The sequence below is a fragment of the Homo sapiens genome, chromosome X, assembly GCF_000001405.40.
Source record: "Homo sapiens chromosome X, GRCh38.p14 Primary Assembly".
Lineage (NCBI taxonomy): Eukaryota > Metazoa > Chordata > Mammalia > Primates > Hominidae > Homo > Homo sapiens.
Window position 1 is genome coordinate 70,709,191 of NC_000023.11, and position 15,736 is coordinate 70,724,926.

At 37.6% G+C, this 15,736-nt stretch overlaps 1 protein-coding gene across 6 annotated transcripts in view; it reads right to left on the reverse strand.

The window, feature by feature from the left end:
* TEX11 (testis expressed 11) overlaps positions 1-15,736 on the reverse strand; it is a 397,485-nt gene that overhangs the window by 197,964 nt on the left and 183,785 nt on the right. For 4 of the 6 annotated variants that reach the window (XM_017029649.1, XM_011530994.2, NM_031276.3 and 1 more), the window contains one exon: positions 13,428-13,506. In XM_017029649.1, coding sequence (XP_016885138.1) covers positions 13,428-13,506 — 79 coding nt within the window. Of the gene's footprint in view, positions 1-13,427; positions 13,507-14,881; positions 15,078-15,736 lie in introns of those variants that run through there. The other 2 variants (XM_017029650.1, XM_017029651.2) reach the window with 2 other exon arrangements.

Here is a 15,736-nt window from a genome sequence, read left to right on the forward strand (position 1 = left end):
AAGAGAAAGATCTAGGGTGATACCAATCACCAATACTGAGCTCAGATAGTGGCTGTTACATGGGAATATCTGAATAAACATGATTAATTAAAATCTCAAGGGTCAGTTGATGTTTGCTTTTATTTCTCAGTGGCTGATAACCTTTTAGATCTATCCCAGAAAGGAATTATTATTGAGTATGAGGTCTTCAATATTGTACCTATCTCTTTTTCTATATTATCAGGATATTCTCACTCAGCTAGCATGCCATTTCTGCAACTCACCTCAAGTACGTATTATTACATTATCATAAGAATGTATTTCATTTAAACATATAATTGTAAAATTCTGCTACATTCTTAAGTATAATTTTATCATATCTTAGAGCCAAACATTTTTTGGAGGTAAATCATTTTATTTGTATAGTGTAAGTTTATGGAAAAATAATACCATATCAAATTTTCTCTGAACAGAACTTTTCAGGAACTCATTTAATGTGTAGAATCTAGATAGCTCTGAAATATTTTATTATAACATTCAACAGTGTGTTCAAAAACTATTATATTAATAAACAATATCAGGCTTTATGCAACAGGAAAGCTGGGAATAAAATGGTTAAGATGCAAGGCTTTCTGGTCTTTCTTTTTACTTGATGAGCCTGAACAAATTGCTTCCCTGTATCTCTTATGTGACTTCCAAGGATTCTGATCTTGACTTCACAAGCCTGCTGCTGCTCTCCTCTCTTCTTCATTTTAGTTTGGCAATGTCAATCTGATCTCCCACATTCTTGTTCTGTATTTTTATTTGGTGCATTGACTTTCCTAGATCACTATCTCTAGGTTTCTGATTCTGTCTTGGTAGTCTAACTGCAATTCAAGATCCCTTTGTTTATTTGATTTAGTATTCTTGTCACTGGAATAAACAGTAACTGATTAAGCTTACCTAATCAGCATCAAAAAAAAAGGGGGGCCTGACGCCTTTCACCAATAACAACATAAATGACAAATGTTAACATTGTAACTAGGAAAAATTATGCACCAATACGCATAAGGAATTAAAGGAAAGAAAAAACTAAAAGCAGATTGTTAGGATAATAATATTAGATGTGATCTTTTTTGTTTTAAATTTTTCATTACAGTCATAGCATGTTTGTAGAATTTTTTAAATAGATACAAAATTCTAAAAGAGGATTAAAGTCCAAGGTTAGGAGTAAAAGTAACTTAGTTGCCATAAAAGTGTTCAGGACCCCTGGATCAAATAAATTTACATCTAGGACTAAGATAATTTGTAGATGAGACTTATACATTAAAGAAGTCTTTCAGGAATTACGGATAAATGGAGGGGTGATGAAGACTGGGGACAGGAAAAGTTCTCATTTTTTTTTTTTTTTAGGAGGCAGTGGATTCCCAAACCATACTACTCTGAGAATGAGCCACAGACCAACAGCATTGACATCACCTGCGAGCTTCTAAGAAATGCAGATCAGGTCCCATTCCAGACCCACCAAATCAGAATCTGCATCTTAACATGATCTTCAGCTGATCTAGCCAATCATATACACATTAAAGTTTGAGAAGCACTAACATAAAGCAACAAGGATTCACTGAGAAAGATATAGCAAATTAATTTTTTTTATACTTTAAGTTTTAGGGTACATGTGCACATTGTGCAGGTTTGTTACATATGTATACATGTGCCATGTTGGTGTGCCGCACCCATTAACTCGTCATTTAACATTAGGTATATCTCCTAATGCTATCCCTCCCCACTCCCCCCACCCCACAACAGGCCCCAGTGTGTGATGTTCCTCTTCCTGTGTCCATGTGTTCTCATTGTTCAATTCCCACCTAAGAGTGAGAACATGTGGTGTTTGGTTTTTTGTCCTTGCGATAGTTTGCTGAGAATGATGGTTTCCAGCTTCATCCATGTCCCTACAAGGGACATGAACTCATCCTTTTTTATGCCTGCATAGTATTCCATGGTGTATATGTGCCACATTTTCTTAATCCAGTCTATCATTGATGGACATTTGGGTTGGTTCCAAGTCTTTGCTATTGTGAATAGTGCCGCAATAAACATACGTGTACATGTGTCTTTAGAGCAGCATGATTTATAATCCTTTAGGTATATACCCAGTAATGGGATGGCTGGGTCAAATGGTATTTCTAGTTCTAGATCCCTGAGGAATCGCCACACTGACTTCCACAATGGTTGAACTAGTTTACAGTCCCACCAACAGTGTAAAAGTGTTCCTATTTCTCCACATCCTCTCCAGCACCTGTTGTTTCCTGACTTTTTAATGATCGCCATTCTAACTGGTGTGAGATGGTATCTCATTGTGGTTTTGATTTGCATTTCTCTGATGGCCAGTGATGATGAGCATTTTTTCACGTGTCTTTTGGCTGCACAAATGTCTTCTTTTGAGAAGTGTCCATTCATATCCTTTGCCAACTTGTTGATGGGGTTCTTTGTTTTTTTCTTGTAAATTTGTTTGAGTTCTTTGTAGATTCTGGATATTAGCCCTTTGTCAGATGAGTAGATTGCAAAAATTTTCTCCCATTTTGTAGGTTGCCTGTTCACTCTGATGGTAGTTTCTTTTGCTGTGCAGAAGCTCTTTAGTTTAATTAGATCCCATTTGTCACTTTTGGCTTTTGTTGCCATTGCTTTTGCTGTTTTAGACATGAAGTCCTTGCCCATGCCTATGTCCTGAATGGTATTGCCTAGGTTTTCTTCTAGGGTTTTTATGGTTTTAGGTCTAACATTCAAATCTTTAAACCATCTTGAATTAATTTTAGTATAAGGTGTAAGGAAGGGATCCAATTTCAGCTTTCTACATATGGCTAGCCAGTTTTCCCAGCACCATTTATTAAATTGGGAATCCTTTCCCCATTTCTTGTTTTTGTCAGGTTTGTCAAAGATCAGATAGTTGTAGATATGTGGCATTATTTCTGAGGGCTCTGTTCTTTTCCATTGGTCTGTATCTCTGTTTTGGTACCAGTACTATGCTGTTTTGGTTACTGTAGCCTTGTAGTATAGTTTGAAGTCAGGAAGAGTGATGCCTCCAGTTTTGTTCTTTTGGCTGAGGATTCACTTGGCAATGTGGGCTCTTTTTTGGTTCCATATGAACTTTAAAGTAGCTTTTTCCAATTCTGTGAAGAAAGTCACTGGTAGCTTGATGGGGATTGCATTGAATCTATAAATTACCTTGGGCAGTATGGCCATTTTCATGATATTGATTCTTCCTACCCATGAGCATGGAATGTTCTTCCATTTGTTTTTATCCTCTTTTATTTCATTGAGCAGTGGTTTGTAGTTCTCCTTGAAGAGGTCCTTCATATCCCTTGAAAGTTGGATTCCTAGGTATTTTATTCTCTTTGAAGCAACTGTGAATGGGAGTTCACTCATGATTTGGCTCTCTGTTTGTCTGTTATTGGTGTATAAGAATGCCTGTGATTTTTGCACATTGATTTTGTATCCTGAGACTTTGCTGAAGTTGCTTATCAGCTTAAGGAGATTTTGGGCTGAGATGATGGGGTTTTCTAGATATACAATCATGTCATCTGCAAACAGGGACAATTTGACTTCCTCTTTTCCTAATTGAATACCCTTTATTTCCTTCTCCTGCCTGATTGCCCTGGCCAGAACTTCCAACACTATGTTGAATAGGAGTGGTGAGAGAGGGCATCCCTGTCTTGTGCCGGTTTTCAAAGGGAATGCTTCCAGTGTTTGCCCATTCAGTATGATATAGGCTGTGGGTTTGTCATAGATAGCTCTTATTATTTTGAGATACATCCCATCAATACCTAATTTATTGAGAGTTTTTAGCATGAAGAGTTGTTGAATTTTGTCAAAGGCCTTTTCTGCATCTATTGAGATAATCATGTGGTTTTTGTCATTGGTTCTGTTTATATGCTGGATTACGTTTATTGATTTGCATATGTTGAACCAGCCTCGCATCCCAGGGATGAAGCCCACTTGATCATGGTGGAGAAGCTTTTTGATGTGCTGCTGGATTCGGTTTGCCAGTATTTTATTGAGGATTTTTGCATCGATGTTCATCAGGAATATTGGTCTAAAATTCTCTTTTTTTGTTGTGCCTCTACCAGGCTTTGGTATCAGGATGATGCTGGCCTCATAAAGTGAGTTACGGAGGATTCCCTCTTTTTCTATTGATTGGAATAGTTTCAGAAGGAATGGTACCAGCTCCTCCTTGTACCTTTGGTAGAATTCGGCTGTGAATCCATCTGGTCCTGGACTTTTTTTGGTTGGTAAGCTATTGATTATTGCCTCAATGGCAGAGCCTGTTATTGGTCTATTCAGAGATTCAACTTCTTCCTGGTTTAGTCTTGGGAGAGTGTAAGTGTCAAGGAATTTATCCATTTCTTCTAGATTTTCTAGTTTGTTTGTGTAGAGGTGTTTGTAGTATTCTCTGATGGTAGTTTGTATTTCTGTGGGATCGGTGGTGATATCCCCTTTATCATTTTTTATTGCGTCTATTTGATTCTTCTCTCTTTTCTTCTTTATTAGTCTTGCTAGCGGTCTATCAATTTTGTTGATCTTTTCAAAAAACCAGCTCCTGGATTCATTGAGTTTTTGAAGGCTTTTTTGTGTCTCTATTTCCTTCAGTTCTGCTCTGATCTTAGTTATTTCTTGCCTTCTGTTAGCTTTTGCATGTGTTTGCTCTTGCTTCTCTAGTTCTTTTAATTGTAATGTTAGGGTGTCAATTTTAGATCTTTCCTGCTTTCTCTTGTGGGCATTTAGTGCTATAAATTTCCCTCTACACACTGCTTTGAATGTGTCCCAGAGATTCTGGTATGTTGTGTCTTTGTTCTCATTGGTTTCAAAGAACATCTTTATTTCTGTCTTTATTTTGTTATGTACCCAGTAGTCATTCAGGAGCAGGTTGTTCAGTTTCTGTGTAGTTGAGCGGTTTTGAGTGAGTTTCTTAATCCTGAGTTCTAGTTTCATTGCACTGTGGTCTGAGAGACAGTTTGTTATAATTTCTGTTCTTTTACATTTGCTGAGGAGTGCTTTACTTCCAAGTATGTGGTCAATTTTGGAATAGGTGTGGTGTGGTGCTGAAAAGAATGTATATTCTGTTGATTTGGGATGGAGAGTTCTGTAGATGTCTATTAGGTCTGCTTGGTGCAGAGCTGAGTTCAGTTCCTGGATATCCTTGTTAACTTTCTGTCGTGTTGATCTGTCTAATGTTGACAGTGGGGTGTTAAAGTCTCCCATTATTATTGTGTGGGAGTCTAAGTCTCTTTGTAGGTCTCCAAGGACTTGCTTTATGAATCTGGGTGCTCCTGTATTGGGTGCATATATATTTAGGATAGTTAGCTCTTCTTTTTGTATTGATCCCTTTACCATTATGTAATGGCCTTCTTTGTCTCTTTTGATCTTTGTTGGTTTAAAGTCTGTATTATCAGAGACTAGGATTGCAACCCCTGCCTTTGTTTGTTTTCCATTTGCTTGGTAGATCTTCCTCTATCCCTTTATTTTGAGCCTATGTGTGTCTCTGCACGTGAGATGGGTTTCCTGAATACAGCACACTGATGGGTCTTGACTCTTTATCCAATTTGCCAGTCTGTGTCTTTTAATTGGAGCATTTAGTCCATTTACATTTAAGGTTAATATTGTTATATGTGAATTTGACCCTGTCATTGTGATGTTAGCTGGTTATTTTGCTCGTTAGTTGAGGCAGTTTCTTCCTAGCCTTGATGGTCTTTACAATTTGGCATGTTTTTGCAGTGGCTTGTACCGGTTGTTCCTTTCTATGTTTAGTGCTTCCTTCAGGAGCTCTTTTAGGGCAGGCCTGGTGGTGACAAAATCTCTCAGCATTTGCTTATCTGTAAAGGATTTTATTTCTCCTTCACTTATGAAGCTTAGTTTGGCTGGACATGAAATTCTGGGTTGAAAATTCTTTTCTTTAAGAATGTTGAATATTGGCCCCCACACTCTTCTGGCTTGTAGAGTTTCTGCTGAGAGATCAGCTGTTAGTCTGATGGGCTTCCCTTTGTGGGCAACCCGACCTTTCTCTCTGGCTTCACTTAACATTTTTTCCTTCATTTCAACTTTGGTGAATCTGACAATTATGTGTCTTGGAGTTGCTCTTCTCGAGGTGTATCTTTGTGGCGTTCTCTGTATTTCCTGAATCTGAATGCTGGCCTGCCTTGCTAGATTGGGGAAGTTCTCCTGGATAATATCCTGCAGTGTTTTCCAACTTGGTTCCATTCTCCCCGTCACTTTCAGGTACACCAATCAGACGTAGATTTGGTCTTTTCATATAGTCCCATATTTCTTGGAGGCTTTTTTCATTTCTTTGTATTCTTTTTTCTCTAAACTTCTCTTCTCACTTCATTTCATTCATTTGATCTTCCACTACTGATACCCTTTCTTCCAGTTGATAGCATCGGCTACTGAGGCTTGTGCATTTGTCACGCAGTTCTCGTGCCATGGTTTTCAGCTCCATCAGGTCCTTTAAGGACTTCTCTGCATTGGTTATTCTAGTTAGCCATTTGTCTAATCTTTTTTCAAGGTTTTTATCTTCTTTGTCTTCGGTTTGAACTTCCTCCTTTAACTTGGAGTAGTTTGATCGTCTGAAGCCTTCTTCTCTCCACTTGTCAAAGTCATTCTCTGTCCAGCTTTGTTCCATTGCTGGTGAGGAGCTGCACTCCTTTGGAAGAGAAGAGGTGCTCTGATTTTTAGAGTTTCCAGTTTTTCTGCTCTGTTTTTTCCCCATCTTTGTGGTTTTATCTACCTTTGGTCTTTGATGATGGTGACAAACAGATGGGGTTTTGGTGTGGATGTCCTTTCTGTTTGTTAGTTTTCCTTCTAACAGTCAGGACCCTCAGCTGCAGGTGCATTGGAGTTTGCCAGAGGTCCACTCCAGACCCTGTTTGCCTGGGTATCAGAGCGGAGGCTGCAGAACAGCGGATATTGGTGAACAGCAAATGTTGCTGCCTGATCGTTCCTCTGGAAGTTTTGTCTCAGAGGAGTACCCGGCCGTGTGAGGTGTCAGTCTGCCCCTCCTGGGGGGTGCCTCCCAGTTAGGCTACTCGGGGGTCAGGGACCCACTTCAGGAGGCAGTCTGTCCATTCTCAGATCTCAAGCTGCGTGCTGGGAGAACCACTACTGTCTTCAAAGCTGTCAGACAGGGACAGTTAAGTCTGCAGAAGTTTTTGCTGCCTTTTGTTTGGCTATGCCCTGCCCCCAGAGGTGGAGTCTACAGAGGCAGGCAGGCCTCCTTGAGCTGCAGTGGGCTCCACCCAGTTCGAGCTTCCCAGCCTCTTTGTTTACCTACTCAAGCCTCGGCAATGGTGGGCGCCCCTCCCCCAGCCTCGCTGCTGCCTTGCAGTTTGATCTCAGACTGCTGTGCTAGCAATGAGCGAGGCTCTGTGGGCGTAGGACCCTCCAAACCATTCGCGGGATATAATCTCCTGGTGTGCCATTTGCTAATACCATTGGAAAAGCGCAGTATTATGGTGGGAGTGACCAAATTTTCCAGGTGCCATCCATCACCCCTAGGAAAGGGAATTCCCTGACCCCTTGTACTTTCCGGGTGAGGCCATGCCTCGCCCTGCTTCAGCTCAGGCTCAGTGCACTGCACCCACTGTCCTGCACCCACTATCCAACACTCCCCAGTGAGATGCACCCGGTACCTCAGTTGGAAATGCAGAAATCATTCGTCTTCTGCGTCGCTCACGCTGGGAGCTGTAGACTGGAGCTGTTCCTATTCAGCCATCTTGGCTCCACCTCCAATTAATCTTATCTTTTGCAAGTTTACTTAAATGTTAATGTCAGAGAGTAAATAGATATAATCTAACAAATTCAGAAAAATGATTCAATAACAGTATCAAGCCATTCACCTGCTTTTCTAGAATCCAAAGCCTATGCTCTTCCCTTAAATAGTACTGGATATTACTAGGATCTAATAAGTATATAACCTGGAATTGTCTGCTCTCTGTCTCCTAATGAAGCTTGACTGTAAAAGGTGAAATTTCAAAAAAAAAAAAAGATCGCTTAAGAGACATAGTATTTCCATCCATTCTATATATTCAAAATTTTATCCTTGCATCAAGATGGATCATCAGAAAACTAGGTCTGAACTACATTAGCTTAGTCCATTACAGAACTTCATTCACTTTCTTTTCTTTTTTTTTTTTTTGAGATGGAGTCTTGCTCTGTCGCCCAGGCTGGAGTGCAATGGCGCGATCTTGGCTCACTGCAACCTCCGTCTCCTGGGTTCAAGCAATTCTCATGCCTCAGCCTCCTGAGTAGCTGGGATTAGAGGCATGTGCCACCACAGCCCGCTCATTTTTGTGTTTTCAGTAGAGACAGGGGTTTGCCATGTTGACCAGGCTGGTCTTGAACTCCTGACCTCAGGCAATCCATCTTCCTCAGCTTCTCAAAGTGTTGAAATTACAGGCGTAAGCCACCACGCCTGGCCACTTCATTCACTTTCTAACAGTTAATGTTCTGCATGCTTAGCTTTCATTGCTTAAAAAAAAAAACTTTACTGTGTAAAATATACTTATGCTCTTGCTATAAAATTACTAAAAGCATTGTCCATTATATAATGCAACTTCCTACACTGTCTACAGAAGCCAAATATGTAACATAAATGAGTGAAGCAGACTGTAAAAAAATCCACTGCCAGATATGTAATTAAACTTTATCATTAACCGAACGATGGTATAAGCACATTAACAAATAGTATGAACAGGTAGGAAAAGAGCAGCTATATTTTAAATTTGAAATCTAAAAATATAAATAATTTATCAAATTTTCCTTTGAAATTGATTACTTTGTTGACTTGTAAATAGAAAGCTAAAATCCTTTCTTCTACACCAATATGTCAGTGTCCACATGGGCTGATAGGGAAAAGTAGATACTTAAGTGGAAATTCGGGTACCGTATCAAGAGGAAAGTGGAATGAATAAAATGATGGATGGCCAAAAGCAGCAAATGTCTACTACATACTGATATTCCAAAGTTGTCTAATTAGGATTCAGTACCACACTACAGTGCAGTTCAATTTCTTCAATTTGTAGTTCTTTACTGACATTAGTAAAATTAATTGAAAAAGACAAAATAGGCAATATTTTTAATTGCCACAATGTTGGAAATCAGAAAACTTCCTTTTTGGAATTCACTCTTTAAACCTGCAATTGTGAATACGTAGTTTAAGTAATCACTTCCATCTCTGGACACCAATTTCAGCACAGAAAAGTAAGCCGGATTATTCCTTGCCAAAAGCATTTCCCCAAAAAATGACTTCACTAAGAACATGTGAATTAAATTTTACATTTGTGTAACTACTTATGAGCACTTTCGCGAGAAAGATTCAGAGTGTTTATATGGATTATCATATTCACCAAAAAGGTCAGTCACTGAACTGAGTCAGGGATTTTCCCTTGGATGACATGAACAAGTTGAATTCTTTCAACAGTTCAAAAAATATATCTTCAGCACCTGACATAAATGCTGCACTACATCCCGAAACTCCCCTTCAGAACTGAAGTATTTATTCCCCAGTTGCTCTTTAGGAATTCGCTAGGCTGAAAAAAGCTACCACACCCAAGGTCATTCTCCTTTCCCAGGGTAACTGGCATACAGAGACTAGTCAACATTGGGCTATAAGGACCGGCCCTCTGACCTTAGCTGAGGACAATTTGGAGGGACCATCCCAGCTTCAGAGCTCCCAATAAGTAAGGCTGAGGCCTTCTGACTATATCTAGGCCAACTTCTCCCATTAGTCCAGCTGCATCCCCTTCCCTTCACAGGTGTTGATCCTGAAAGAACCCTTTAATAAATTATCTTCACGTTAACCTCCATCTCAAAATTTGCTTCCAGGGCAACCCAACCTGTGACAACACCACATACAACTAAGCCCCCTAATCTACAAGAAGCAGAAGCAACTACTGTATTGTGCATCCAATTCATCCAAAAAAAGCAATAATCTCGGTTGAGGCCACAGAATAATATCTGGTATACATATATTGTTATTATATACACGTTTCATTTTTTATCTTTTTAGGACAGTGTTTCCTGGTGAATTATACAATTAATACACTGAAGTTTTTTATCTTTAAAAACACTGCCACTTTGGATTTAAGTTTCATATCAAGTCTTGTGTTAACCATTGCAGAAATATCTTCTGTAGTCATACTTAAGTTATTTTGACCAGTCTACATTAAACTTAAGACACAGGCACTATGTTCAAAAGTTCTATCATATCAAAATTCTCATTGACACCACAAATAAATATGCTTCACTGGGCATTATTATTTATGTCTATGCAACAGAAAACACCAAAAACAATGGCAACAAAAGCCAAAATTGACAAATGGGATCCAGTTAAACTAAAGAGCTTCTGCACAGCAAAAGAAACTACCATCAGAGTGAACAGGCAACCTACAGAATGGGAGAAAATTTTTGCAATCTACTCATCTGACAAAGAGCTAATATCCAGAATCTACAAAGAACTCAAACAAATTTACAAGAAAAAACAAACAACCCCATCAAAAAGTGGGCAAAGGATATGAACAGACACTTCTCAAAAGAAGACATTTATGCAGCCAAAAGATACGTGAAAAAATGCTCATCATCACTGGCCATCAGAGAAATGCAAATCAAAACCACAATGAGATACCATCTCACACCAGTTAGAATGGCGATCATTAAAAAGTCAGGAAACAACAGGTGCTGGAGAGGATGTGGAGAAATAGGAACACTTTTACACTGTTGGTGGGACTGTAAACTAGTTCAACCATTGTGGAAGACAGTGTGGCAATTCCTCAAGGGTCTAGAACTAGAAATACCATTTGACCCAGCCATCCCATTACTGGGTATATACCCAAAGGATTATAAATCATGCTGCTATAAAGACACATGCACACGTATGTTCATTGTGGCACTATTCACAATAGGAAAGACTTGGAACCAACCCAAATGTCCAACAATGATAGACTGGATTAAGAAAATGTGGCATATATACACCATGGAATATTATGCAGCCATAAAAAGGATGAGTCCCTGTCCTATGTAGGGACATGGATGAAGCTGGAAACCATCATTCTCAGCAAACTATCGCAAGGACAAAAAACCAAACACTGCATGTTCTCACTCATAGGTGGGAATTGAACAATGAGAACACTTGGACACAGGAAGGGGAACATCACACACCGGGGCCTTTCATGGGGTGGGAGAAGGGGGTAGGGATAGCATTAGGAGATATACCTAATGTAAATGAGGAGTTAATGGGTGCAGCACACCAACATGGCACATGTATACATAAGTAACAAACCTGCATGTTGTGCACATGTACCCTAGAACTTAAAGTATAATAAAAAAAGAAGGTACTAAAAAAAAAAGAATATGTTGTGTGACTCAGTAGACACTTTTTTGTAAAGTTGTCATCTGTAAGAGAGCTAATGCCTGGGCAATCTTTTCCCTTAATATATAACTACATAACTGCATTTTACAACAGGATTGCTTATTTTATTCACTTTCCAAAATAAACCCAGTTGAAATTTCAGTCCTTTTCTTGAATTATTTTTCATTACACAGATTTTCTATGTATATATTATATACATATATATAATATATATATATATATGAAAACCATATTTTTATGTGAAATTTCCTGAATGTTTAATGTTGGCAACTAATTCAACTATATGCAACACATCTCTCGCCACACCCAGCCCATAGTCCACCACTTTGTAAACTTTTTCTAGTGATTAATTGATTTGGAATGTAGTATTGAATGTATTCCTTCTACTACAGTAATAAAAAGTGTGAGCTCTGCAAACATATTTAAATTCCAGCTCTGCTCCTTCCTAGCTATGCAATTGTGGGCAAATTACTTTTTCTATCTAACCCTCATTTTTCTCACCTGCAAAATGGGGTTAATCAAATTACGTTAGAGGTACTTCATAATTTATAATGTAAGGAATTTAGAATAGTGCCTAGTAAAAAGCAAGTATCAGTAAATGTTAGCTTTTGTTATTTAATAATGAAAATTGTATAAAATATCACATTGCCCCTTCTCCCTGGCTGCAAGAAAGCTTACCATTAAATTGAATGCTCTACCACAGCAACTATATTAGCCATTGTGTTTGGTGTGTTTGCTTCCTCCTTTTCAGGGTTTTGATTGTCTATTTCAATTTTCAGAGCTTTATTATACACTTGAATATAAGAAGTTTCAAATTCTTTTTGGAAGAAGGAAGGATAAAAGCAACCAAAACTTTAAAAAATAAAAATTAAGTTCCATGAAATTTTTGTGAACAACATGAAGGAAATTAGGTCATCTAGCTCTATAATTAGGTGGATTTATAACAGGTTCAATGATTGTACACTAAAAAGTATCAATTAATGGATTGCTGTTAACCTGGAGATTAATCTATGCTGCCACGAAGGTTCTGGCCTCAGTTTTGCTGTTTGTCAAATTATCTGGAGTTAGAAAACTATGGCCTGCAGTCCAGCTGCTCTGCTTGTTTTTATGAATAAAGTTTTACTGGAATAAAAGCCACACACATTTGTTTATGATTAGTCTACGGCTACTTTTGCACCACGACGGCAGAGTTGACTAGTTGTGACAGAGACTGTGTGGCCCACAAGCCCAAAATGTATACTTATATCTTAACCTGTAAGAAAAGTTTGCAGACCCCTGAATTAGATGAAGACAGGTGGCAATACCAAATTTGAAGATGACACAAACTGGGAGGAATAGTTAATACACTGCATGATAGAAGTGAAATTCACAAAGATCAGAAGAACTGAAAAAATAGGCTGTAACAATCAGGCTGAAATTTAATAGTTTATAAAGTATGGTTAATGGGTTCTTAACCATAAAAGTGGAGGATATGAGGCATATAGTTTCATAAGTCCAGGAAATTAACCATATGATGTAGCTGCCAGAAAAGAACTATTTTAAATGTTGTCTGCATTAAAAGAAATACAGGGTCTAAAACAGTGCTGCCCAATAGAACTTCCCTGTGACAATGGAAATTTTTTTAATCTGTAATGTCCAATAAGGCAGCCATTAGCTACATGCAGCTATTTGGATTTGATACATGGCTAGTGTGAAGGAGGGACTAAATTTTTAAAATTATTTTTGAGAGAGTCCTGCTCTGTTGCCCATGCTGGAATGCAGTGGCACTATCATAGTTCACTGTAACCTTGAACTGCTGGGCTCAAGTGATCCTCCCGCCTCAGCCTCCCGAGTAGCTATGACTACAGGCACATGCCACCATACCAGCCAATTTTTTAAAAAATATTTTGTAGAGATGGGGTCTTGCTATATTGCCAAGGTTGGTCTCAAGCTCCTGGGCTCAAGGGATCCTCCCGCCTCAGCCTCTCCAAGTGCTGGGATTCTAGGTGTGAGCCACTGGTGCCTAGCCAAAAACTGTCAGTCTTTAGAGAAAGGGAAATCAATTCTGTACCTTTCATGATCCATCAGCAGTTTAGCAATGTTCAGACAGAAGTCTAAGGGCATGTCAAGATGTAGTATTTCCATGACAGCTAACAAGATGAAAAAATGAAATAATTATCAGTTTAATTTTTGAGGAAGCTTAGTTATTTTCAATAATTTTCCTCTATTCAAAATCTACTTACTAAATGTTTGCCATATACCATGTTTTGCCTAAAAATTTATCAAAATCTTCTTTTAAAGTATTAACATCCAGTGCTGGAGAGTGTCATGACACAAGCACTCTTGCACAGATAGCAAAGTAATCTGGTGCAATCCTTTCAAAAAGCAACTTGGCAATACTATACGCTAAGAACACTGGGGTAGAGAGCTTGGTATCTGAAGTCAGACAGATCTAAATTTGAAACCACTTGCTACTTGTATGGCCATAGGCAAGTTATGCTCTCTATACCTTAGTTTTGTCACCTGTAAAATGGAGAATATACCACCAATTTCTCAGGGTTGTTGAGAGGATTACCTGAGATAATGTATGGAAATTATATAGCAAAGAACCTAGCACTTAGTAAGCATTTAATAAATGGCAGCTGCTATTATTATTCCCTTTAAGAAATTGTGCTTCTGAAAAGTCACCTGGAATAAATATGGGGAAAGTTTATGAACAAAAATATTAAAAGCAGTGTAGATTATAATAATAATAGAAAAGAAGTATACACTGTATGTCTATTACAGGGTAGCAATAAACTATTGTGCAACCATTAAAACTGTTGAGTATGAAATAAAGTGGAAAAAATGAATATACACTAATATGAAAAATGTATAAGATTAGTAAGTGAAAAATTAGAAAGCAAACTTTTATGTACTATATAGTTACAATTCTGTAATAAAAGCAAAATAAACTAAGAGAAAAAATACTGAAAATAAGTGATCAAATTTCTAAAAGTGATTGTGTTTAGATTCTATTTATTTGACAAATATTTAATGAGCATATTATCTGTACCAGGCATTGTGCTTTGTGCTGAGAACCTAGCAGTGGATAAAACATAACAAATATTCCTGCTGTCAAGGAGCTTCTAGTGGATGGTAGGACCATGAGAATTTTTAGTATTTTCCAAAAATGTCTTAAATTATTATGTGCTATCCTTTCACAATGAAAAATGTTTATTTTTAAATTTCAATCTTTCTACTACAAAAAATATCAGTGCAATAATGCCAGCAGTTAGGCTGACCATTTTAAGAGTAAAGTATTTTCACCAGCAAAGCAACAAACAGAATATAAAAATGCAAGTTTCATATATTCTTTCAATGCAAAATCTAGTATTTTTAAATATAAAAAACTTGGATTTGGGTTAGCCTCCTAATCTGTAATCAAACTATGACTGACATTGCAACTTCGGGAGTATCTAGATTGAGTTAAGTAAAAGCAATCTGTGAATAAAGAACAATTTCATTTTAAACTCTGCTTCTTACCTACATTTGGATAAACACTGTCATAAGGAATTATCATCCCAAACTAATGTACTTCAACTTGGTGACTCCAATCATCTCTCTGGTCTTCCTATGTTGTCTTAGTTGGAGTAAGTGTATTATTTTAGTTGGTTAGTTGGTTTGTTTATTCCCCCAATGCAAAAAAGTAGAGTTGTCTTCCTGGTTTCTAACATTTTTCAATCTGTGTATGCTGAGGTGATACTGTTGCCTAGAGATGCAGAATCCCCAATACATTTGAGCTTCTGAGGTCTCTTAAGTGATTGGCTAAAATTCTAGAGGCCGCCGAAAGATTCAGTAGTACTAAATTTAGGGCTACTGCCAAATTGAATTTTAGTTCTAACTATAACAAATTGTTATTATTTATTGGATAATCAGTAACTATACTAACATATAATTTTGTATAGTACAAATAATGCAGCTCTTAAAGATTACTGAAAAGCATGTACAACATTAAAAGAATTAGAGTAAATAATTTTTATGACTAAACAAAACTGAAATGTTAAGGGCTAGTGTGCATAGTTTTGCTTCATGTAATGCATCTATATAGTAGTAATAACAGTAATAATAATAACTACAGTAATAGGTAACATATATTGCACACTATGCACCAGGTATGGTGTTAAATGCTTTATACACATTTTCTCACAAGATTCTCAAAACAACATGATGAGGTAGATAATAATAATATCTCTTTTGCTAAATGAAGAAACAAAGCAAAGTTAAGTGACTTGCCCAATGACCAACTTTTGTGCAGTGTACATTCTGGTCCTTGGAGAATTATGAAAAATAAATAGCAATGTTTATAAACAAGTAATTATAAAAATCACAGCATTACAA